This window comes from Homo sapiens, chromosome 5 (assembly GCF_000001405.40).
Source record: "Homo sapiens chromosome 5, GRCh38.p14 Primary Assembly".
NCBI classification, from domain to species: Eukaryota; Metazoa; Chordata; class Mammalia; order Primates; family Hominidae; genus Homo; species Homo sapiens.
The window spans coordinates 76,543,984-76,567,951 of record NC_000005.10 but is presented as its reverse complement, the minus strand read 5'-3'; the positions used below and the strand labels follow the sequence as shown (position 1 = coordinate 76,567,951).

General features: G+C 42.9%; 1 protein-coding gene across 8 annotated transcripts in view, besides 4 other annotated features; it reads right to left on the bottom strand.

The window, feature by feature from the left end:
* The window catches only part of IQGAP2 (IQ motif containing GTPase activating protein 2), a 304,848-nt gene that overhangs the window by 140,181 nt on the left and 140,699 nt on the right, over positions 1–23,968 (bottom strand). For 5 of the 8 annotated variants that reach the window (NM_006633.5, XM_017008960.2, XM_047416641.1 and 2 more), the window contains one exon: positions 5,400–5,556. In NM_006633.5, the coding sequence (NP_006624.3) occupies positions 5,400–5,556 (157 nt within the window). Of the gene's footprint in view, positions 1–5,399; positions 5,557–10,997; positions 20,246–20,500; positions 20,544–23,968 lie in introns of those variants that run through there. The other 3 variants (XM_047416643.1, NM_001285460.2, XM_047416642.1) reach the window with 3 other exon arrangements.
* Positions 10,679–11,173: a silencer, noted in NCBI's record as "fragment chr5:75852604-75853098 (GRCh37/hg19 assembly coordinates)". NCBI's record gives its function as "represses an EF-1alpha promoter that drives an FKBP-Casp9 reporter gene in an ReSE screen in phorbol 12-myristate 13-acetate-treated (for megakaryocytic differentiation) K562 erythroleukemia cells {active_cell/tissue: K562(+PMA)}" and the evidence as "EXISTENCE:reporter gene assay evidence [ECO:0000049][PMID:32094911]".
* Positions 11,031–11,150: an enhancer, noted in NCBI's record as "active region_22691". NCBI's record gives its function as "activates an Ori minimal core promoter by ATAC-STARR-seq in GM12878 lymphoblastoid cells {active_cell/tissue: GM12878}" and the evidence as "EXISTENCE:reporter gene assay evidence [ECO:0000049][PMID:35858748]".
* Positions 20,093–20,422: an enhancer, noted in NCBI's record as "active region_22690". NCBI's record gives its function as "activates an Ori minimal core promoter by ATAC-STARR-seq in GM12878 lymphoblastoid cells {active_cell/tissue: GM12878}" and the evidence as "EXISTENCE:reporter gene assay evidence [ECO:0000049][PMID:35858748]".
* Positions 23,357–23,406: a silencer, noted in NCBI's record as "silent region_16105". NCBI's record gives its function as "represses an Ori minimal core promoter by ATAC-STARR-seq in GM12878 lymphoblastoid cells {active_cell/tissue: GM12878}" and the evidence as "EXISTENCE:reporter gene assay evidence [ECO:0000049][PMID:35858748]".

Here is a 23,968-nt window from a genome sequence, read left to right as displayed (position 1 = left end):
AGGGTTGCTGTTATCCATACACCTAATTTCTTTCAGGTATTAGACCAGGAAGTATATGCTGTTTTTCCACTGCTGAGCTATTACACCAGCAAACATGGTTCATCTAGTTTAAACTGCATAGATGAGGAATTACATTGTCATCATTGGATGCTAACATTCTACATATTGGAATTAGAGCATTTTAAAACCAGGAGGTAGTTTAGAAACAAATAACATTATCCAAATTTGCTTATTTTACAGATGAGGAAACTGATGGCACAAATAAGTAAGATGCTTGAGTTGACCTAACTTGTTAGGCTCAAGGTTAAGACTCCCTTGCAGAATCCCATAATATTTGGACTTCAAGTCCAAATATTATACTCATTTTACTGCTCAAGTACCTTAGAACAAGCACTGCCTCCAATATTCACTAGATGCTCATGTCTGTCAGGCACCATGCCAAGTGCCCTGCATGGATCATTTTGTGCCTCACAATATCTCCACAAAGGCAGATACTGTTGTTATTACATTGAGGATCTGTTATCTGAAATGTTTGGCATTAGAAGCGTTTCGAGTTTCTGATTTTTACAAATTCTGGAATATTTGCATCAGACATACTGACTAAGCATCCCTAATCCCAAAATCCGAAATCCGAAATGCTCCAAGGAACATTTCCTTTGAGTGTCATGTCGGTCTTCAAAAAGTTTTGAATTTTGGAACACCTTGGATTTTTGGATTAGGGATATTCAATCTGTATTCCCACTTCACAGGTGAGGAAACTGAGGCTCAGAGAGCCAAAGTTAATGGCGAAGCTAGACGCTGAAGTATTTTGATTCTACAGTTCACACTGCTAACCACTGTGTGCATGCCTTCCCTATCTAAGGCACACCTACCTATTTGACAAGAATTTATTATAAACCTACAATTATCAAGGTGCTGTTCAGAGTACTATTCATCTTTGAACCTTGTCAGACTGAAACCTCTCCAAGGAAGGCCCTTCTGTCCATTCCTCTTTCTCCTGCCTGCCCCAGTCTGCTTGGGACCACTCTCTAATCTCTCAAGTCCCCACCATGGAAACCTTCCTGGCCCTTCACCACCAAACACCCCATTTAGAATGGACGGGACTGCTCCCTCCTCCTTGGTCATCTCCCACTGTCCACCCAGCTGTCTTCTCATGGCCCTCCATCCATTTCTATTTCCTTTTCAGGATCCACCCTTGGTTTTCCCTCTTGAAGCAGTTCACTTCTTGTCTGTGCAGGTCACTGCCACCTGGACTGAGTTATCCCCTCACTGGACTCTGTCTCCCCTCTTATCCTCCTTCTGGTTTGTTCTCTGTATAGCAGCAACTGATGTTTCTGAAGCGCAAACTGCACCATATGGCATCACAAGGCTTCTGATTGCTGTCCCCTCAACATAGCATGAAATCTCAGGTGCTCCATGGGGCCTGCATGGCTGTGCAATCTCATCTCTGCTCTTCCTGGCCTCATCTTCCACCACTGTCCCTTTCAACCACTCTGCTACGGACAAGCTCTTTTCCTCCTTGTGGCAAGTCTCTCACAAATGAGCTCCCTCTCTTTGGACAGTTCTTCCCAGTGCCCACCCTTGACTGCACACAGGTGACTTTCTTCTCACTCTTCCATCCTCAGAGTAAACTCCTCCTCTGAGAAGCCCATCTCCTGGCCGTTGCTATCTACCCATAACACTGGCTTTCGTGTCTTCCTTCAGACACTTATCACAATTCACAGCTATAAATTCACTTAGTCTGCCTCCCCGCCACCATGAAACCAGGCCCTTGTCTGCTTGGCTCACTATTCTGCCATTAGTGCCTAGAATAGTGCCTGACATGCAATGGGTCTTCATAAGTGTTGCATGGATGAATGAATTCTACCCTATATGTATTTCTATCGTGGCATACCTTTATCTTCCTTCCCTACAACTGTATTGCAATTTGTTATATTAATGTTTATTCACCTGTTAGAGCAGTGGTTCTCAACTCAAAGTGCAGAAGAAAAGAATCACCTGCAGGTGATTTATTAAGAGTACCGCTTCCTGGGTCAAGAGATGCTGCCTGACTCAGTAGTCTGGGGTGGGACCCAGGAATCCAATTTTTACACACACCCATTAGGTGGTTCTGCAGGAGGCTTGAGCACCGTTCTTAGAGGAAGAGTATCACACTCAGCATACTGAGTATGTACCAAATAAAGCACAGAAGGTAAGAAAAGGAATGGAATCCTTTGGCTTATGTGAAACTATTGTCATTCATTCCTTCATCCAACAGCTATTCCCCAAGTTCCTACTGTGGATAAGACCCTGCCCCATTTGCTGGGGATGGGGCATAGAGGCACATACGGTGCCTGCCCACTTTACAATACACTATGGCATGTGCAAGAGAGACTGTGTCAGGAGCTGCAGTGCACATGGCGTGGGCATGTAACTCAGACCTGGTGTGGAGGGCGGAGGTGGCCATGGAAAAAATACTTATAACTGGAAAGTTGAACTCTAATACTCAGGACATCTTTCCAACCCTAAATTAATGAGGAACTAGGGTTGTACATAAGCTGACAAAGAGAAGGGGGTAGCACAAAAGCTCCTGTCTGCCTAACTGATGGCCATCAAAGCTGCCAGTGCCAAGGCTGACATATTTTATGGCTGCAGTCTAGGCAGACCCTGCAGCGAGAGCCCGAGTTCACTGAATTCATGGTTTCCAGATGGCACGAGGGGCTGGGGCTGGGTTATTGAGCGTTCCCTCGTGCTTCAACATCTTTGCCTTAGTCCCATGATTTAGCTCTCCTTGCAAAGGGCTATGTGACATGCTTCAGTCCTGAAGAACACAAGATCAGGAAGTTGCATTATCTATTTGCTAATATTTATCTCCTTTCATTTTCGTATGAGAGATGAAAAGGCGCTAAAATAAGATTTTATGATTACATGGCAAATCACTCAAAGTTTCCATCAAGAACACTAGGCACTTTCAGGGATTTAATAAAGAAAAAAACAAACCTCTTTTCTGTAGTCAATCCACAGAGGGGTCCTTTCCATTTGTCTTATGTTTTTTTCTTTTAGCTCAGCAAGGATGGGCTCCCACGCCACAGCTGGCCACGATCTCCCTCCTGCTGCACCTCCCTCCTTCCTGCTCCTCTCCCAGCATCACCTCTGTGCCACCCGGCCTTCCAGGGATCTGATGGGGCAGGGGTGGCCTCCCTCTTGTGATGTTTCACTTGGGGATGTATGTCATCACCTGCCTACGCCCCGCAAGTATTTTATTCCATAACCAGAAATTGCGAATATTATTTCCCCTGTCCCCATCCTAAAGAGAAGTTGCTATTCATTTAAATAATAGGATATCTGATGCCAGGAGGAGAAGGTACCTGTTTAAGTTGCCATGAGGCAACTGCCATGAGGGCCCTGAGCTGGTCAGGAAGGACACTCCTATATTCAAGGTATACAACATTCCAGGAAGAGAAAAGAACTAGCACACATACTGCTCTGAGGCTCACTTCCATGAAGGGCCCGTCTTCCCAGCCTGATTCTCACAGTTCATGAAAGCCAAAAGAAAATCTGTAATTCCCTTTCAGTGGAGCTGGAGCCTACCCCAACTACGCTTTAACTCTATCATCAAATCTACATACGTGTTGGTACTGACAGACCTAGATCTTGATTATAACCAAAATAAAAGCAATGAAAAAAAGACAAGCTGTAGTCTAAAATGTGGACTAATATTTATTTTGTGGAGAGAGGATACAGATGGTCTTTTTCTGGGCTTCTCTGAATTTCTAAAAACATTTCTCAAAAAATTTTTCTAAACTTCAATTTTAGCCGGCTAAATGATTGTTTTATTAAAGTCTTGTGGAAGATTATAATGAGCTGGAACTCTGGAGTGAAACTTCATGAACACAAATTTACTTTAATAAATGTAAACATTTTTATTTATAACATTATTCAAGGCAAAAACTTTTGCTCAGTGACCTTTTTGACCAGACTAGAAAAACAGACTCAAAATAAATTTGACAAGTAATCTTGTCTACTGTTAACCTTGAAGATTATTCAAACATTCTATCTGTATTTAATATACATATTTAAAGAATATATTTTGCCTAAAGAAGTGAAGGGTACTATGAATCATGCAATAAATGGGAAATCATTCCTTTTCCAACTATATGCAACATATTCCCTACAGCTGTAAGAGAAATAACTGTTCAGAATACTGGAAAATCTGCAGATAAAAAATATTGATATAAAGAACTGAATGCATTAAAAAAATAAAGATCAAGTTTCAAAGAAGCTTTAGAAACCTTGACCTGCAGCAGACAAGAGGTCACATATTGCAGAATAGAACACCAGACATTTAAAAAATCTGTTTTGAAGATACATTGCTAATGGAGGAGCCTTTTAGGTTGGCGTTTGCTTTTTCCTTTTCCTTCTGAATATATAATTTCAAATGTAAAAAAGTAGACAGAATAGTATAATGAACTCCTATGTACCCATCATTCAACTCAACAGTTATGAACTCATGGCCAGCTTTTTATCATCTGTCTACCTTCCCCTCAATTATTTTGAAACAAATCCTAGATCTATCACTTCATCTGTAAATACTTTGATATGTATCTCTAAAAAATCGGGATTTTTATTACTATAAAATTGATGTTTATTTTAATTTTGTTTTCTTCTCCCTCCTCCTTCTAAATTTAAATAACAGTGCGGTTTTTATTGTTGATCTTTCTTCTTCTTGCTATTATTATCTTAGAGACAGGGTCTCACTCTGTCACCCAGGCTGGAGGGCAGTGGTGTGATCATAGCTCACTGCAGCCTTGAACTCCTGGGCTCAAGCAATCCTCCTACCTTGGCCTCCAAAAGTGTTGGGATTATGGGCAAGAGCTACCACACTCAGCTGTTGTGATGTTTCTAAAAGGGCTACAATAGCTTTTTATTTTCTAATGCTTCCCAAATTAGCCCTGAAACAATTCTTAAAACTAGTTGTACACAAAGTGGTTAGTCGTATCTTGCTTTAAACATGAAATGGAAAAGAATTCTTGGCTGATCATTCGACCTTCCTACTTGTTTTATCACATTGGCCCTAACTCTTTAGGGCCACAAGTTCAAGTGAAAAAAGGAGTGGTAGCATGCCCCCACTTTTACCTTTACTGGCACTAATAAAGTCAAGAGTGACTTCCCTGAAGGAATAATTGGGGGAGGCATTGGGAAGCCCCATAAGTCAGAGGTCTCTTAGTGTCAGACCAGAAATAGAAACACTTTGCTTTTTAAAACTGCTGCTGCCTCAGGAATGCTATTAACAGGCTCCAAAGACATCCCCCAGCCCCCCAAATCCTTACAGAAACACTAAGAGTAAAAGAAGGGAGAGGATATGAAATACCAAACTTTCACTTTTAGCTGGAAGCCAAAACCAATTAGATCTTGGTTACCTTATAACGTGTTTGTTCCACATCATAGATCTTTTTCTCTGATACCATTTTCGGGGCAAAGAACTTGGCTAACTTTGCAAGGTAAACTCCATTCCGGAGCCCTTCTTCCAATTCAGTGGTTGGTGGCAATTCTTCAACTAAGCAAACTTCCATCCACCTAAAGAGATTAAAAAAAAAATATTAAAGTGATTCCAGTTGGGTAACTTTCTGCAAATGAAGGCATGCAGCATTTCGCTGTGTGTGTTGGAGACAAAGGAAGAAGGATCTGAAACATCTTTCGGTGTCACTGGTGGGAAGGGAAGACTTTCTGGGTGGAATGGGGATTTTGAACATGAGACGAACAGGGGGAATGAAAGCCCAGAAGCGCTGAGCTCACTCCCATGCCAGAGCTCGTCAACTTCACCTTTATCTGAGCCTCTGCCAAGTCTCTTTTGTGCCAAAGAAGGAAAAGGCCAAACCATTTTGTATAGGTGGAATTAGTCCTGCTGACATTAAAGAAAAAATAATTCCAAGTTTAGGAGCCCTTGGCAGAGGCAATTCTTATACGGTCTGTGCCTTAGGGAGTGCATAGTCCCAAGTACTATAAAATCTGCAGTTACCTCAGTCCAGGAATGACTACCAGGAAAGGTAGGAAGGCATGGAAAAGGGGCATTGGAATTAAGGAAGCAGACAAGGCTTCTTTAAATAACACAGACTCCTTTTTCCAATACCAGGAACTTATGACAACACACTTATCTTTTTTGGGAAGACACCGTACTTAATGGGTTCTGAAAAAAATATTTTAGACAAAGATCAGATTAAACCTTAAGATGTTGTGCCAGTATTGTAGAAAAGAGAACACCAAGGTCATTACTGGCTCAAGGACTTACAGTGGGAGAGGAGACAGGCCAGTTCACATGTCACAATGGTGTGCTGAGGATCTGCCAGAGTCATGAGGATACTCCTTTCTCAAGTAACTATTACCTACTGCAAGATTCAAGAACCCGGTGTGCAGTTCTCAGCAGGGAGCCCCCAGCCTCCCTGCCACCCAGCTACTGATCTACAAATCCAACTATTAGCGTGAGCACCATATCTATATAGACAGTCTCCCTAGAGGATCATTAACACAGTAGCCACTGATCCTGCCAACACTTAAACAGTAGAGCACCGTGCCCCAATATTAACAACTGATCCCAACCCAAGTTGCCAACACTGTAATATGTCTGAACTGCTTGTAGCTCTGAACAACAACTTGTAGAAGTTCAACAAGCCCCTAATAAGTGGTTATTACTGACCATTTATTAGGCACTATAAAATTGGAATCCAGTAGACCCCCCTTATCCAAGGTTTCACTTTCTGCAGTTTTAGTTACTTGAGGTCAACTAGTCTGAAAATATTAAATGGAAAGTTCCAGGAATACAAAATTCATGAGTTTTTAATTGCATATCGTTCTGAGTAGTGTGATGAAATCTCATGCTATCCCACTCCCATCCCTTCCTCATCACAAGAAGGGTAAGTGCAGTACAATAAGATATTTTGAGACAGAGGCAGAGTCCACATTCACAGAACTTTTATCATAGTATATTGTTATAATTGTTCTGTTTTATTATTAGTTACTGTTGTTAATCTCTTTCTATTCCTAGTTTATAAATTAAACCTGAGCATAGGTATGTATCTATATGCAAAAACAGTCTATTCAAGGTTTGGTGCTATCTTCAGTCTCAGGCATCGACTGAGGGTCTTTGAACATATTTCCAACGGATGGGAGGGGAATAGTATATATGATAAAAATATAAACATAAGCCTTGCCTTCAAAGAGCATTAAATATAATTAAGAAGGCAACACAATTCTAAGGAAAAGCCAGAGAACCATATGAGAGGCTATGATGTGCAATGCTACATGGTAGGATATAATCAGAAAAAGTTTGGGAGTAAAGGGGAATAATTGGGTTATCACTGCAGCAATCAAGGAAAACATTAAAAAGGTGGTAGAACCTGGACTTGGCCTTGAAGAATGGAGTACAGTAAGTCCTCACCTACTTGGGAACTATGAATTTAAGCAAAATAATGTATAACAAAATCAATTTTACCATAGGCTAATTTCTATAAACAAGTTACACTGGGCGCTATGGCTCATGCCTGTAATTCCAGCACTTTGGGAGGGTGAGGTGGGAGGATTGCTTGAGACCAGGAGTTTGAACCAGGCTGGGCAGCACAGTGAGGCCCTGGCTCTCTTAAAAAAAAAAAAAAAAAAAGAGCCAGGCATGGTGGTTTGCACCTGTGGTCCCAGTTACTCAGGGGGTTGAGGTAGGGGGATTGCTTGAGCCCTGGAGTTTGAGGCTGCAGTAAGCTGTAGTCAGGCCACAGCATTACAGCCTGGGCAACAGTGCAAGACTCTGTCTCTAAAAAATAATTAAGTTCCTATTGCATATTTCTGGTCACAAAAACATCAACAAACTTCTAAATAAAGACCAAAACACTTCTATGTTAAACACTGAAATAAATGTGAGCTATACATACAATTAAGAAAGATTAACATAAACTTTTAGTATAATGAAGGGACTGGAAAAACAAAAAAAGTAAGAAAATTCTTCACCCTCTTATTCCAGGTCAGGGTCTTGGGTGGCCGGAACCTATCCCAGCAGCTCAGAGGTAGGGGGGTGGGCACCAACCCTGGACAAGATGCGTTCCCATTGGAGGATACACTCAAACCCCCACCACACTCAGTGGGGACTATGTAGCCACATCAGTTAACCTAACATGCACATCTTTGGGACGTGGAAGAAAACGAGTCCCCAGAGAAAACCCACGCAGACCTGGGGAGACCACACGAACTCCACAGTGGCCCCTTCTTTTTCTTCATCAACATTATGAGGAAATGACATCGAATGAAACGACATTATTGGAGGACCTGCTGTAGTTGGAAAGGCAGGGAGAGAACCGGAAGCTGGGGAGAACAGAAACTAAAGGCATAAAAGAAACATGGCTGACTCACGAAGAAAACCCAGGGAAGACAGTGGGCCTCTGGGGCTCACAGGGAGAAAAGAGCAATGAAGCTGGGCCTTCCCGTGAAGCTAGGCTCTGGAAGGTCTAGCATGTGAGGACGGTGTTGACATTTGTAGCCACAAGAAGCAGGGAGCTCCTGGCAGCCTCACCGAAGAGGAGTAATGTGCTGACAGTGGTAATTAGAGAAAATTAATATGGTATAATGGACGCCTCAGAGACCGACTCCTCTGTCAGGCCTTTCCCATTGTGAGATGTTGAGGGACGGGATCAGCCAGGAAGAAACGGGAAGGAAGACAACCGAAAGACAGTTCCAGGAAACAGTAAGAGGACTTGGTGACAGCTCAGAAAAGGGAGTTGAAAAACAGAGGGCCAGGTGCGGTGGCTCACGCCTGTAATCCCATCACTTTGGGAGGCTGAGGCGGGCGGATCACGAGGTCAGGAGATAGAGATCATCCTGGCTAACACGGTGAAACCCCGTCTCTAATAAAAATACAAAAAAATTAGCCGGTCGTGGTGGCGGGCGCCTGTAGTCCCAGCTACTCGGGAGGCTGAGGCAGGAGAATGGTGTGAACCCAGGAGGTGGAGCTTGCAGTGAGCCGAGATCGCGCCACTGCACTCCAGCCTGGGCGACAGAGCGAGACTCCGTCTCAAAAAGAAAAAAAAAAAGAAAAACAGACAAGAGATTACCAGCCAGGGAGAGGCACTGGGTTGAAGGGAGGGTTCTGCACCAGGAGTCAGCCACATAGTGGTGGTGTGACTGCAAGCAAGTACCCTCACCTCTCTGAGCTTCAGTTTCTCTCCTCTGCTAAAGGAGGGGTGTTGGTGATAAGAATTTGGTGATAAAGTCCTTGCCAGCTCTAACATTCTAACGGCTGTGAAACTGGAAGAACAAGGAACAGGTAAGATGTGATGATGATGAACTTCCTTTTCACATATCATGCATATCATTCACATCTCATGTGGGCCTTGTGTCAAATAAACTGAAGTAAGAATACCATGGACTTGCTAAATTTTGTAAAGAAGAAATCAATAGTAATGCCGCCTTAAAAAAAATATGGCCAAGTTAAGAGCCACTGCTCTAGACCAAGTTTCTAAGCTAAATAAACTAATTAGGGTATTAGGTGATTTCACATTAAAACACAATCTGTTTTCAAATAATTACATTTTCAAATAATTATCTTGGAAAAATGCAAGAAATCATTTTTTACACAAAAATATATGAATGCTTTATAACAACCTGGAAATTGGGGTATATGTGTGAGGGGTAGGGGCTGGGGGTAAACTGACAATTGGTAGCAAGAGTAGGGGGAGATAAGTTGACAATTGGGAGCAAGGGGCAGGAGGCAAAAATAAAAGCTCCCCGAAGTATGATATTTTAGAGTTGGGCTTGTTTTTAAAAAGAGGTAATCACATTTTTGTCTATATTAGGATATATGTGCAGTAGGTTTAAAACACTGATACCAGGCCGGGCATGGTGGCTCATGCCTGTAATCCCAACGCTTTGGGAGGCGCAGGCAGGCGGATCACTTGAGGTCAGGAGTTGAAGACCACCCTGGCCAACATGGTGAAACCCCATCTCTACTAAAGACAAAAATTAGCCAGGCATCGTAATGGGCACCTGCAGTCCCAGCTACTCAGGAGGCTGAGGCAGGAGAATCGCTTGAATCTGAGAGGCGGAGGTTGCAGTGAGCCAAGATCGCACCACTCCACTCCAGCCTGGGCGACAGAGTGAGACTCTGTCTCAAAAAAAATTAAAAATAAATAAATAAATAAAACACTGATAGCAAAAACTTAGGTTAGCTACAACCTATTTAAAATATAGCCATGGCTAATTCTTATGACATTATGAACTGCTCAAAGGCAAAGGCCATTTCTTCTTTCTCTTTATAATCCCTTTGTGCCTGGCAACCTGTTTACACAAAGCAAGTACTTAACATATGGTTATGAAAGATTCTGACTGCTAAAAAGAAAGTTTTCCAAGCATCACAGTTACATCATAAAATATTTTAAGATATTGCCAAAGATTTACAAAATGTTACTTTTTTTAACATTAGGCATCAATGGAGATACCTCTTTTTCTCTGCCTTGAAAGTCAAAAGATGATGCTATTATTATCAATGACAACTAGTGTTTATTGAGCATGATCTTTTGCCAAAATCTGGACTTGATACTTTATGGGGATTATCATGGAATCTTCTCATGATGACCCCATAAGGAAGAGATGCTATCAGAATCACCATTTGCTGATGATTTTCCGGTGTTTTTCTCAGATTCTGTTGATTTTCTGACATGATATCTGAGGTTTTCCAAAGCTCAGAAAAGGCTAAGGCTACCCAGCTCAATAAGCTGACAGGGGCCAGCCTCTGCTCCTCTAATTCCAACTTTTAATTTCTCACAACTCACCAAACTGAATCCTCTAGCCTAGTGTAAAACAAAAGTGATAACAAAACACTGCAGGGCTGCTTCCAGAGTAGCGGTAGAGTTCCACGGCTTGGAGACATAGATGTTGTCACTGTTTCAGTATGAGGTCAGAAGATAGTATATTCACTGTCAGGGTTGAGTAGATTCCTGGGGCTTCATTTGTTCTCTCAGAACTTCCTCTTTGTCACCTACCTTGCAACAGGCAGGGTAAATGGTCCAGGTTTCCCCTTGTAGTGCTGTAGCAGGGCAGAGGCAAGATATAGGAAACTTAGAGCCTATTCAAATGCAGTCACCTCCTCAGGAAGGCCCACAGGCCTAGAGCTCTCAAAGGTCCTTCCAATAAGATACAACTTGGAAACTCCTATCAATCATCAGCCAGTCTAGGAGCAACAAACAAGACTATTCTTCTAGGACAGGTGACAGACTCTGCTGACAGAATAACCAGTCAGACTGGGTACTTAACATTGCTCTAAAGGTATTAAAATCCCTCACAATGAAGCAGGAGCCATGATATGAAACTTCTAAACTTGTGCCCAGTCATCATGCGGGCTGACTAGCCTTTGGATTGATTTTTTAAGTATAAGGAGAAAACTTCAAGCCCAGATAGGGATATAGGAGTTAAGAAGAAATCACGCAGGCAGATAGCAAGGGTATGGGAGTCCTTGGTAAGGTTCTTCTTTTTAATGAAAAGCAGCCCCAAATCATTTTCTATCAAAGAGCAGCCAGCAAGCTGGGAGCTTGCACAGGTGAATGCCAGCGGGAACTAAGGAGTAGACATGTTCAAGATGGCGGCTCCATCTTCCCTTCTCTGCCAGCCACCTGTACTGTAAAGGAGCAGACAAGATGGCCCTAACTGGACAGCCCATTTGCATAAGAAGATTAGGGTGGGGAAACCAGCCTTCCCCGCACTATGTAAATGTCATACCTGATTGAACCAATCTATGAGCTCTAGGTAAATCAGACACTGCCTCTTGAAACCCTACTATAACACTCGAGGCATTCACCACCAGCAGGTCCTTTCTGCTGGGAGACCCCCTCCTTTACAGAGGAAGCTGTTTCTCTCTCTTCTCTTCTACCTATTAACCTTCTGCTCCTAAACTCCTTGTGTATGTGTCCTAAATTTTCCTGGCAGGCGACAACAAACCCCAGGGTATATACCCCAGACAATGTAGCTCCTTCAATACCAGAGTCTGCATTCGTAGCCCCACAGCATCTGTAAGGTGCCAAGTGACTGGGTTGTAACCACAGAAGGTGTGGGGAAATGAGTGTGAGAGGTGCACCACCCCTAAGTGTGGCTCAGGAAAACCTCCCATGGATAAACCTCCTCTCTCTCCTCCCCATCTGCTGGCTGGAGAAGGTAGAAGAACTTCCATCAGACAGGGTCCCTGAATAATTGTGTGGTAAAGAACCCCATGTTTTCAAGGTCATTCTTGTTGGTTAAAAAAAAGAAAAGCAGCAGCAGCTGTTGTGTCTCCTCACCCCCAGCCTACACTACTGAACCTTACAGGAGCAGGAATTAAACTGCTATTGCCAGCCTCGGTTTCAGGGGCTTGCTGATCTGTTACATGAACAAGTGAGTGGTACCTGGCCACACCAATACAAATTTTAAGTGTGACTTGTATGGTATGTTGGGGTCAAACTTCCTGTAACAATCACAATGGAGAGACAGTTGGCCTGATGTTCAGGAAGTCTGGCTCTGTGATCACCAGCTATATGCACTGGAACAGGTCGCTTAATACTCTGAGTATTCAGTGTTAGTCCATAAATCTGAAATTATAACGGAATTCAATATGACTGTGTAATTATGTAATATGACTGTGTGTGGTTTAACATCTTTATTGAGATATAATCCACACATCATACACTCAACACTTAACACGTATAATGCAATGGTTTGTAGTATATTCACAGGGTTGAAAGACCATCATCATTATCAATTTTAGAACATCTTCCTTACACCGAAAAAGAAACCTTATATCCATAAACAGTCATTCTCCATTTACCCCCAAGCCCCTAACACACTAATCTACTGTCTTTAGATTTGCCTATTCTGAACATTTCATGTAAATATAAATAGACTCATACAATATGTGGCCTTTTGTGACCTTTCACTTAGCATGTTTTCAAGGTTCATCTATGTTGTAAGATGTATCTGGACTTCATATCTTTTTCTTGAATAATGTTTCATTGTATGGATATATCACATTTATTTATTTATTCATCAGTTTTTGGACATGTTATTTTCCCCCATAACTTTTTGACTATTGTGAATGATACTGCTGTAAACACTTGTGAACTAGTTTTTGCACTGATGTATGTTCTCATTTCCCTTGGGTATATACCCAAGAGTAGAATTGCTGGGTCATATGGTAACTCTATGTTTCATCTTTTTAGGACTTCCAGACTGTTTTCCAAAACAGCTGTACCACTTCCCATTCTCACCAGCAGTGTATGAGGATTTCAATTTCTTCACATCCTTACCAATATTCTTCTGTCTTTTTGATTACAGCCATCCTAGTGGATGCAAAGTGGCATCTCATTATGGTTTTGATTTTCATTTCCCTGATGGCTAATGATATTCAGCTTCTTTTTATATGCATATAGCCCATTTATATACTTTTGGAGAAATGTCTTTCAAATCTATTGCTCATGTTTTAGTTGAATTATTTGTCTTTTTACTTTTGAGTTATAAGAGTTCCTTACATATTCAGTATACAAGATTCTTATTTGGTATATGATTTGAAAGTGTTTCCTCCATTCTGTGAGCCGTCTTTTCACTTTCTTAATGGTGTTATCTGAAGCAAAAATGTTTTTATCTTGATGAAGTCTCATTTATCTATTTCTTCTTTTGTTGTTTATATTTTTGGTATTTTATATGTTATATATTTATACCTATGTTTTCTTCTCTTTTATCTCATAGTTTAGGTCTTTGATCCATTTTGAACTACTTTCTGTATATGATGTGAGGTGAGAGTCTAACTTCATTCTTTTGCATGTGGCTACCCAGTTGTCCCAGCACCACCAGTTGAAAAGACTACCTTTGTTGAACTGTCTTGGCACCTTTATTGAAAATTAACTGACTGTACAAGTGAGTGTTCATTTCTGAACTCTAAATTCTAGTCCAATCTATATGTCTATGACTTATGTACAGATAGTACATAAAGTGTGCATACATAAAATCAAGTTAGAGATACTTCATGTGTCATCAAGAGCCTGTGTTCAAATTTGGCCTAAAAATCCACAGAAACGAAAACCAGAATATTCCCCCTTCCCCACCAACACTGTCCTTGCATTCACTGCTTCTTCCCCATTCTTTCTATTGACTAGTTTATTGGCCCACAACCCCAATATGTGAATGTCTTGTTTCAAAGCAAAAGTTTAAGCTATTTCTTATGAGCATCTTATGGGTTGCTAGAGAACCTCATCTTCCTTTTTAGGGTGGGACTACTTGTGGCAGAAGGGGAGAGAAAGGAGAAATCTTTCAAATTTTAGGGCAAGAAGAAAAATTCTGTCTTGTGGGAGAAAAAAGAAAAAGAAAAAGAAACCACCCCACAAAAATCCTGAAGCAAACAATCCTTTCTATTGTACTACTTTGTGCCTTGCAGAACATACGAAAGTTGTTTTGTGGAGGCATTTGCTATCTGAGTTGTTACTCAGGAAATCACCAACTATAAATCTTGGTCTGTATCATACAGTGCTGTATGGAATAAGTATCCTGACGGTAGAACTGCTGGCCAAGAACAGAAAAATGTGTTTTATTTGCATAAGCCCTGTTTTAATGCAGTGCCCTGTTCTATGAACTTTCAAGTATCACAAGTCAATTTTTCCCTTAATATTTTAAAAATCAGCACATAAGACATATTCTAAAAGAATATAAGAATATCTGGACTTTGTTTTTATGTATAGCATAGTTGGTCATTTTCCACCTTCTGTGTCAACAGGCAGTAAAAGCATCAGAAGGACTAAGTTAAGTTCTCATGGCAAAACTTTTCATTAGCTGGAGGCCAATGCAAAACTGCCACCATGATTCCATTAGCCTTATTAGCCCAGGGGAACGTGGCTGTAGGAACCCACCCTGCAAAACTAAAGTGGGCATCTACGGGCCCCTATCTTTCTCTCATACAAAACTTATTTGGTTCACTCTAAGAAAGTGACATGAAAGGCTAATTATTTTCTTTAGTAAAATTTTTGCTTTGCTTTAAGAATGCTAATTATTTTCCTTAAAACACAGGCACACAATACCATGAAAAGAATCAACATATGACTTCAAGATCTAGTAGGAGTGGAACAGACTGCAGAGGACTTATGTCTCACTCTTCTCTTTCAGGGGGAGATGATATAGTATAATCTGTTGAGTTTGGCAAGCTTCCCCAAACTGTGTTCCACAGAACGTTGTCTCAGATGCTAAGAGAGACTGTTGCTAGAAATATGGACATGAAAGGTGATTCTAGTGAGATTTTAGACAGAAATGAGGAACATGTTATTAGACACTGAAAAAAGGCAATCCTTGTTATAAAATGGCCAAGAACATTGCTGAATTGCATTTTTGTGTTTTGTGGAAGGTAGAGCTTGTAAGTGACAACCTTGGATATTCTGCTGAGATTTCTAAGCCAAGTGTTGAAAGCCTGTTGTGCTTTCCTTGCCACTTTCCTTTCTCCTTACTGCTTCTATTAAAGTGCAAGAGAAGTGAGAGAAATTAAAGAAAAAATTGTTAGGCTAAACAAACCAGAACTTAAAGATCTGGAAAATTCTCAGCTTATCCATATTGCAAAAAAATGAGAATGTGTTCTGGAGAGGGCACCAACAGTGTGACTGGACAATCACTCCCTAAAGAGTGACAGTGGGACTCACAGATCTAATTGGCCATCTCAACAGAAGCCAGGAATAGAGACGGGGTTCTACCAGTAGCAGAAACACTGCTGACTTGGACTAAAGGGGACAGAGACAGGACACAACAGCAGCAGGCTTCTGAGATGCTACAGGATGGGACAATAGATCTATCTGGCTCTGGGTGTGAGCATGTATTATCCTTCAAGAAAAAGGAAGAATGGTCCCTAAAGCTACTACTCTCACCCCACAACGAAAGTGTTCAGGCCCAGGGGCGAGGAAGGCTCTCTTCCATTTCAAAGGGTGAGGCTCTCTCTGTCTCAGTGTGAGAGGGTGAGGCTGTCATTGTCCAAGGCCTCAAAAGCAAGGCTGCCACCTGGGGCCTTGAAGAAATTCTGCCAGTCCTCTCCCTCCCCCTCCCCTCCCCCTCCCCTCCCCCTCCCCCTCTCCGTCTCCCTCTCCCGTCTCCCTCTTTGCAAGGTCTCCCTCTGATGCCCAGCGGAGGCTGGACTGTACTGCCGCCATCTCGGCTCACTGCAACCTCCCTGCCTGATTCTCCTGCCTCAGCCTGCAGAGTGCCTGGGATTGCAGGCACGCGCAGCCACGCCTGACTGGTTTTTGCATTTTTTGGTGGAGACGGGGTTTCGCCGTGTTGGCTGGGCTGGTCTCCAGCTCTGGACCGCGAGTGATCTGCCTGCCTCGGCCTCCCGAGGTGCCGGGATTGCAGACGGAGTCTCGCTCACTCAGTGCTCAATGTTGCCCAGGCTGGAGTGCAGTGACGTGATCTCGGCTCGCTACAACCTCCACCTCCCAGCCGCCTGCCTTGGCCTCCCAAAGTGCCGAGATTGCAGCCTCTGCCCGGCCGCCACCCTGTCTGGGAAGTGAGGAGTGTCTCTGCCTGGCCGCCCATCATCTGGGATGTGAGGAGCCCCTCTGCCCGGCCGCCCAGTCTGGGAAGTGAGGAGTGCCTCTTCCCAGCTGCCATCCCATCTAGGAAGTGAGGAGCATCTCTGCCCGGCCGCCCATCATCTGAGATGTGGGGAGCGCCTCTGCCCCGCCGCCCCGTCTGGGATGTGAGGGATGTGAGGATTGCCTCTGCCCGGCCCCGACCCCGTCTGGGAGGTGAGGAGCGTCTCTGCCCGACCGCCACCCCGTCTGGGAGGTGAGGAGCGTCTCTGCCCGGCCGCCCCATCTGAGAAGTGAGGAGCCCCTCCGCCCCGCAGCCGCCCCGTCTGGGAAGTGAGGAGCCCCTCCGCCCGGCAGCCACCCCGTCCGGGAAGTGAGGAGCCTCTCTGCCCGGCCAGCCACCCCCGTCCGGGAGGGAGGTGGGGGGCAGCCCCCGCCCGGCCAGTCGCCCCATCCGGGAGGGAGGTGAGGGGCGCCTCTGCCTGGCCGCCCCGTGTGGGAAGTGAGGAGCCCCTCTGCCCGGCCGCCACCCCGTCTAGGAGGTGTACCCAACAGCTCATTGAGAACGGGCCATGATGACGATGGCGGTTTTGTCAAATAGAAAAGGGGGAAATGTGGGGAAAAGAAAGAGAGATCAGATTGTTACTGTGTCTGTGTAGAAAGAAGTAGACATGGGAGACTCCATTTTGTTCTGTACTAAGAAAAATTCTTCTGCCTTGTGATCCTGTTGATCGGTGACCCTACCCCCAACCCCGTGCTCTCTGAAACATGTGCTGTGTCCACTCAGAGTTAAACGGATTAAGGGCGGTGCAAGATGTGCTTTGTTAAACAGATGCTTGAAGGCAGCATGCTCCTTAAGAGTCATCACCACTCCCTAATCTCAAGTACCCAGGGACACAAACACTGCGGAAGGCAGCAGGGTCCTCTGCCTAGGAAAACCAGAGACCCTTGTTCACATGTTTATCTGCTGACCTTCCCTCCACTATTGTCCTATGACCCTGCCAAATCCCCCACTCCGAGAAACACCCAAGAATGATCAATAAATACTGAAAAAAAAAAAAAAAAAATTCTGCCAGCCCAATGGGCCTGGAGGACAGATCATCATGTAAAAAGAATTATTTTCAGGCCTTAAAATTGAACATAATTTGCCCAGCTAGGTTTTGGACTTGCTTTGGACCCATGACCCTTTTTTCTTCCTTCCAAGTTTTCCCTTTTGGAATGGAAATGTCTATCCTAAGCCTGTCCCCATCATTGTATTTTGGAAGCAAATAACTTGTCTGGTTTCACGGGTTCACAGCTGGAGAAGAATTTTTGCCTCAAGATGAATCATATACTTGAGTCTCTCTCACTTTGATGTAGATGATATTTAGATGAGATTTGGGACTTAGAATTGATGCTAGAATGGGTTAAGGCTTAGGTTGTTGAATGCAGGTGAATGTATTTTGCTGTGAGGAGGACATGAATTTTGGGGGTGCAGAGGGCAGAGTGTTATGGTCAGAACTGTGTTCCCCTCCCCAAATTTATATGTTGAAGTCCTAACCCCTAATACCTCAAAATGAGACTGTATTTGAAGACAGGGCCTTTAAAGAGATGGTTAAGTTAAAATGAGGTGATTAGGTGTGGCTACTGTCCTTATAAGAAAAGGTGATCAGGGCACAGAGAGCTCCCAGGGCTGAACGCTCATAGAGGGAAGACAGAAGGACATAGTGAAAGGGCCATCTGCAAAGCCGAGGACAGAGGCCTCAGAAGAAACCAAACACATTGACACCTTGCTCTTGGATTTCCAGCCTCCAAAACTGTGAGAAAGTAAATTTCTGTTGTTTAAGCCTCCCAATCTGTGGTATTTTGTTTATGGCAGCCTGAACAAACTAATACACTAGCTAAAACATCAACTCCCATCATCCTCTAAAATTCCTCACCCAATTTTCTCTTCACTGCATTTATTACTACCTGGCAGACTAGATATAATACTTATTAGTTTGACTGGCTCACTCAGTTAGACTGTGAATTCTACAATAGCAAGGACCTTATCTGTCTTGAGAGGCATCTAACACAATGGTTGAAAGCACACACACACACACACACACACACACTCCAGAGCTCGACGCCTGAGACTGAACCAAAGCTCTGCCACTTACCAGTTACGTGCCCCTTGGGTAACTGAATTAATCTGAGTCTGTTTCCTAATCTACAAAATGGGATAATAATAGAACTGCTTCCAAGGGCTAATAGGAGAAAAGCACTAGAACAGTGCCTGGCATATAGTAGGTACCTTTCATGGTAGCTATTGTAGTTTTTACTGCTCACCACCATATCCCAGACCATGCCCCGCCAATATGATTCACTGTTCACACCTGACCTTCAGCAGTATTTGTTTAGTTCAGCACTGTTTAGCCATACAGACTTCCTTGCGCAGGAAGTATGCCAGCATTTTGACTATCAAACATGCCTTCTTCTCCCATCCCAGTCTGTTGCACCCCCTGAACAAATCCACTCCTCCTGCTAAACACATCCTATTGCCTTACACTAGATACACTCTTAAATGGCATTTAGTAGGGGCTATGTAAATATTTACATATGTTCAGGAGAGCCAGGTTTCTGCTATAATGAGACTCCCACTCTACTGATAATGCCAATGGCAAACAATTGCAGCTCACATTTACTTAGCACATGGACTAGCACTTAGCAGGTACTTGGCACTTATATGAATGTATTCTCACACTAATCTGATGAGATTGATATCACTCCCCTTTAATAGAGAAGGAAGAAGAGGCTCAGAGAGTTAAGTAATTTGCTCAAGATTACACAGCTAGTAAGCGGCTGAGCTGTGATTTAAATTCAGGTTGTCACCTCTGCAGGACACCTCTCTGCCACTCTGCTCTGACAAATCACTTAAGATTAATAGGGTGAACAGGGCTTAAGCTCACTTCCTAGGAATGCTCTCTTCTTAAGCAGAAGCCTTAGGTGAAACCTTTTCTAAAACTAAAATGAGCCAATTCAGATCTTGATAAACTATGCTTTCCCAAAGCCAGGTGTGCCTGTGCTTTAAGACAGATGAAGGTGAACATACTCTTCAGGACTGGCTGAAGAGGCTGTGGTCACTTTCGGAAGTGTCTGTGGGGGTACAGCTGTGTTCACTGGACCTTGGATCTCCAAAAATCTGGCTTCTAACTTGGTTCTGCAACTGTATTCATCTTCATTACTTTGGGGTACAACAATCTCTCTGGGCCACAATTTCCTCTATCAGAAAACTGGGTACAATACTTGCTACCTCACAGAGAAGTCATGAGAATGAAAACAGATGCTAAATGTGAAATCACCCAGGAAAAAAGCACCCAGCATGCAACAGGTCCTCAAGAAACAATTGTTAACAAAATGAAATTAAAAGGAGGTAGGCAAGTGGCCACCAGTTTAAAGCGTAATGCTACCAAGGATTTATCACACTGTTCTCCACAGAGCAGCGTGGCTACACTGATCTGAACATATGAGATCCAATGTCTTCCAGGTGGAGACTACTGTGGGATGTGACACCCTGCAGGAAAATAAGCTGACCAAAGGGCCTTGGAGAACTGAGCTCAAAAATGGGACTCTGCCAACCTGCCTTCCCTAGAACTTGCTACAGGGGAGACTGAGCTGTCATGTCTGTTTGCAGTGCAAAGCACCTTCAGTTTTACAAGATAACCATGAGCTGGGGTGCAGAGGTAAAGTAAAGAAGAAAGAACCGAAAGTACTCAGCAGAAGTTTCCTGGCACATCAACAGTCATCTGAGGCTTACGCATACATTTTGGTCTAAATAACAACTTAAGACTTGATGAAGCAGATTCTCCTTCCTGGGTTTGTCTACACTGTGCACATGCTCTAACCACAAAATAATCACTGTTCTTGCACTTTTAACACGTCTTTGCCCCAACGTAGGCAGGAAAATGAAAGCAACAAGCTTAATAAGATCATTGTAAACTTACTTAAATTGCCACAACTCCTTCCTACACTTGACTTCCCTCTTCTAAGCCCCAAGCAAGTATTCAATATGGAATTGTTAAATAATGGACATTCCAGAACACCAAGAGAATGCCATAAAGCCAGCCCATATTTCAACATAGAAGAAACAAAACTGGCAAAAGCTGTATCCAGTATGAATTTCCTTCCTTCTCTTCCTCCCCTTAAACTACAGTTATCTTATGTCCAAAGTTAACCCTTTCTTGGAGGTGGTGAATGAGGGAGAGTTACACAGACTGATTCCTCTACAGCCTAAAGGATCAAAAGAGAATAGCTCGCAGCAGGTAGTGTGAAGTAATAGCACAGTGAAAAATTCAACTGTGAGGAATGTCATCTTAATACCATATTTGCAGTGCTTTCTTCCTCTAGCTATGTCCTTTGTCCAGCCCTTATTGATTTCCCCCACCTCCACTACCAGCTGTACCAAGGAAGTGACAAACAGGGACTCACTAGATGCCGTCAATCATTGTCACCAAGAAGAGAAAAAAAGAATCCAACATATGTTCTTGCAAATGCCTCCCACTCTCCACTCCCACCTCTTCCTCTTCACTGACACACAGTCTTTATAAGCAGTAGGCCACTTTTTAATATCCCTCGAGTGAAAACGTTTGAGGCACAGATAGGAGGAGCATCCCAAGCACCATTCTTTCCTGACATGTGTGTCCGTAGTTACAGTTCACAGTGCAAGCGGCAAGACCAAGGCAGTGTTGCCCACCAATGAGTTACTGCCAATCCTGACTACAGAGAGCAGAAGGGCTGCTGATGATTAAACCAATGCTGCTCTTGTGCCAGGCGTGACAGAGGAACAGAAAGATGTACAATACAGGTAGCAGATGGTACTCTCTGCAACTCATTCTGACGACATAACAGGAGTTTCCTATTTGTCTGCTGACCACCATGACGCCTGGTATATCAATTCCTATGGCAACAGCTCTAAGTATAGTGCACTACAAATAAAAAGTGGTGTATTGTTTTGTTTTTTTGAAATGGAGTCCCACTCTGTCCCTCAGGCTGGAGTGCTGTGGCATGATCTCAGCTCACTGCAACCTCTGCCTCCCAGGTTCGAGGATTCTCCTGCCTCAGCCTCCGGAATAGCTGAGATTACAGGCACACGCCACCACACCTGACCAATTTTTGTATTTTTAGTAGAGATGGGGTTTCACCACGTTGGCTAGGCTGGTTTTGAACTCCCGACCTCAAGTGATCTGCCCACCTCGGCCTCCCAAAGTGCTGGGATTACAGGTGTGAGCCAACACACCCGGCCAAAAAGGGGTGTATTAAATGGATATAGACACCTGTGTTCATTTCTGGAAATAAAGCAAGAGGTAAAATGTGGCCACTTCCATCACATGCTATAGGAGAATTTTTCTCTGGCTCAATAATTCCCTATTGGGCATCTGTTCTGGCTTAAGAAAAAGAAAATCAACAAAGACCAATGATACGCATGTAACCACAATGATATTAAAAATAAAAAACTCAGATGTCTGATGACAGGAGAGAGTGTGAAGTAATAACTGATTATATAAATGGAATACTATACAGCCATTAATATTTATGACAAATTAGCAAAATGGAGGAAAGTTGAAATAGTAAAGTGAGTAAAACAGTAACACAAAAGTACATGCACTTTTTGTCATGTGTGTCAACATGTGAAAAAACCTGGGTAAAAAGTCACAAAGATTGCTTCAAGTATTTTCCAAATCTCAGTTTGGCCCTACAAAGACAGATAGCAATGAAGTGGATTCACACCTAGTAAAATGGATGGAACTTTCAAAGCCTAGTAAAAAAAACTAAGGAACAGAATGAGATAGCCATACCATTTGCATAAATTAAAAATACTTACACACAAAACAAGATCCATTGCAAGAATACACACAAATCTAAATGATACATTGTATACATATCAGAATGTTGCCTATGGGAGGGAGGGAACCAGGGATAAAAGGAAATAACTTTTAGGGGTCCAGCACAAACCAGAGTCCACCATGTGCCCAGAGATACTGTGTACCATGACCTAAAGGGTGTGTCGGCTTAACCTTTGCCCCCGAGGTCCTTTGGCAAGGCTAGGCATGGTTTTAAAATTGTAGTGGAAACTGGTGCAATTTCAGACCACCACACATTTCCTCTCCACGGCATGTCCCTTGCTCCCAAACAGTAGCTGCCTTTTATGATGCCACTTCTGTTCGGTCCATTTCTAATTTTCCTTGTGTTTAACAAGATTGAAAGGCTGCAGGAAATCATCATTAATAAGAAATATTTAATCATATCGCTATTGTATACACATCCATGTTACACAACAGTGTAACAATTGTATAGTTTTATATACATAGTTATGTGTATATATGTATGTATATGTAGAGATAACTATATAGAAGAAAACTATAGATATGTATATATGTACTGTATACAACTACATATGTATATATTTACATATAGTACATATATACATATATACTGTATATAACTACATATATACTGTAGACATATATATGTACTGTATATAACTACATACATACTGTATAGAACTACATATAGTTCTATCGCTATAGAGTTACCTATAAAGTATGGATAACTATTCAGAAATTATTCCCACTAGGCTACAAAAGAAACTGGCAATAATGTTTACCTTTGGGAAGGGGAACTGGGTGGGAGAAAGATATAATTTTCACTGTCCCCTCCTTTGGGCCTTTTACATTTTGCACCACGTGTATATATGACCAAAAAAAATTAAAGCACTTAATTAAGCAACCACTCACTCTGTACACATAACATTACACAGTAGGCTTAAGAAGTAAAGTGTTCCAATTATACCAGAAGCAGTAAAAATCTGACCAAGTTCTCTCTAAGCTGCATCCTGGTGTGCCTTAGCTAGATCCATCTCCACCCAGCACAACCACAGGCAGCTCACAAGGTGGCAGCATTTGCTGCTGTGCTTGGCTATATGTCCTTGATTTTATATGTAGGTTAATAATCAATTAGAGCCCTGCCACCCAGAATATCCTCCTAGGCCCCAAGTCGGCTGGGAACTGCTCTCTCTGTCAAGTGGCCCTGTCCTTGAGTCTCAGTGCTTCTTGGCTCTGAGGATTGTAGACTCTCTTGTGAACCATCGTGGGCTGTAGGAACCCCTGGGGGATTCAGGGTCTTTACTCCTTGACAAAGAAGGCATGTTAAAAATTGTTTCAAATGAAGGTTCTTATCTTAGAAGTCAGTTTATTTACTGTCTGCCAGCTTTTTGGTCAGAGCAGCAGACATTTGGGGTGCCATGGCCATGGGAACAGGAAGATGATGAGAGGAACAGGCTGCCAGGAAAGCGTGGCTTTGGACTGGCTAGAAAGTGATGCCTACCAGGACCCATTCCTACAGCATGTTCAGGAATGGGGCATCTTAACTGCTATCCACAGTAAATTCTCACTCAGAAAGACTTGCAGGCGCTT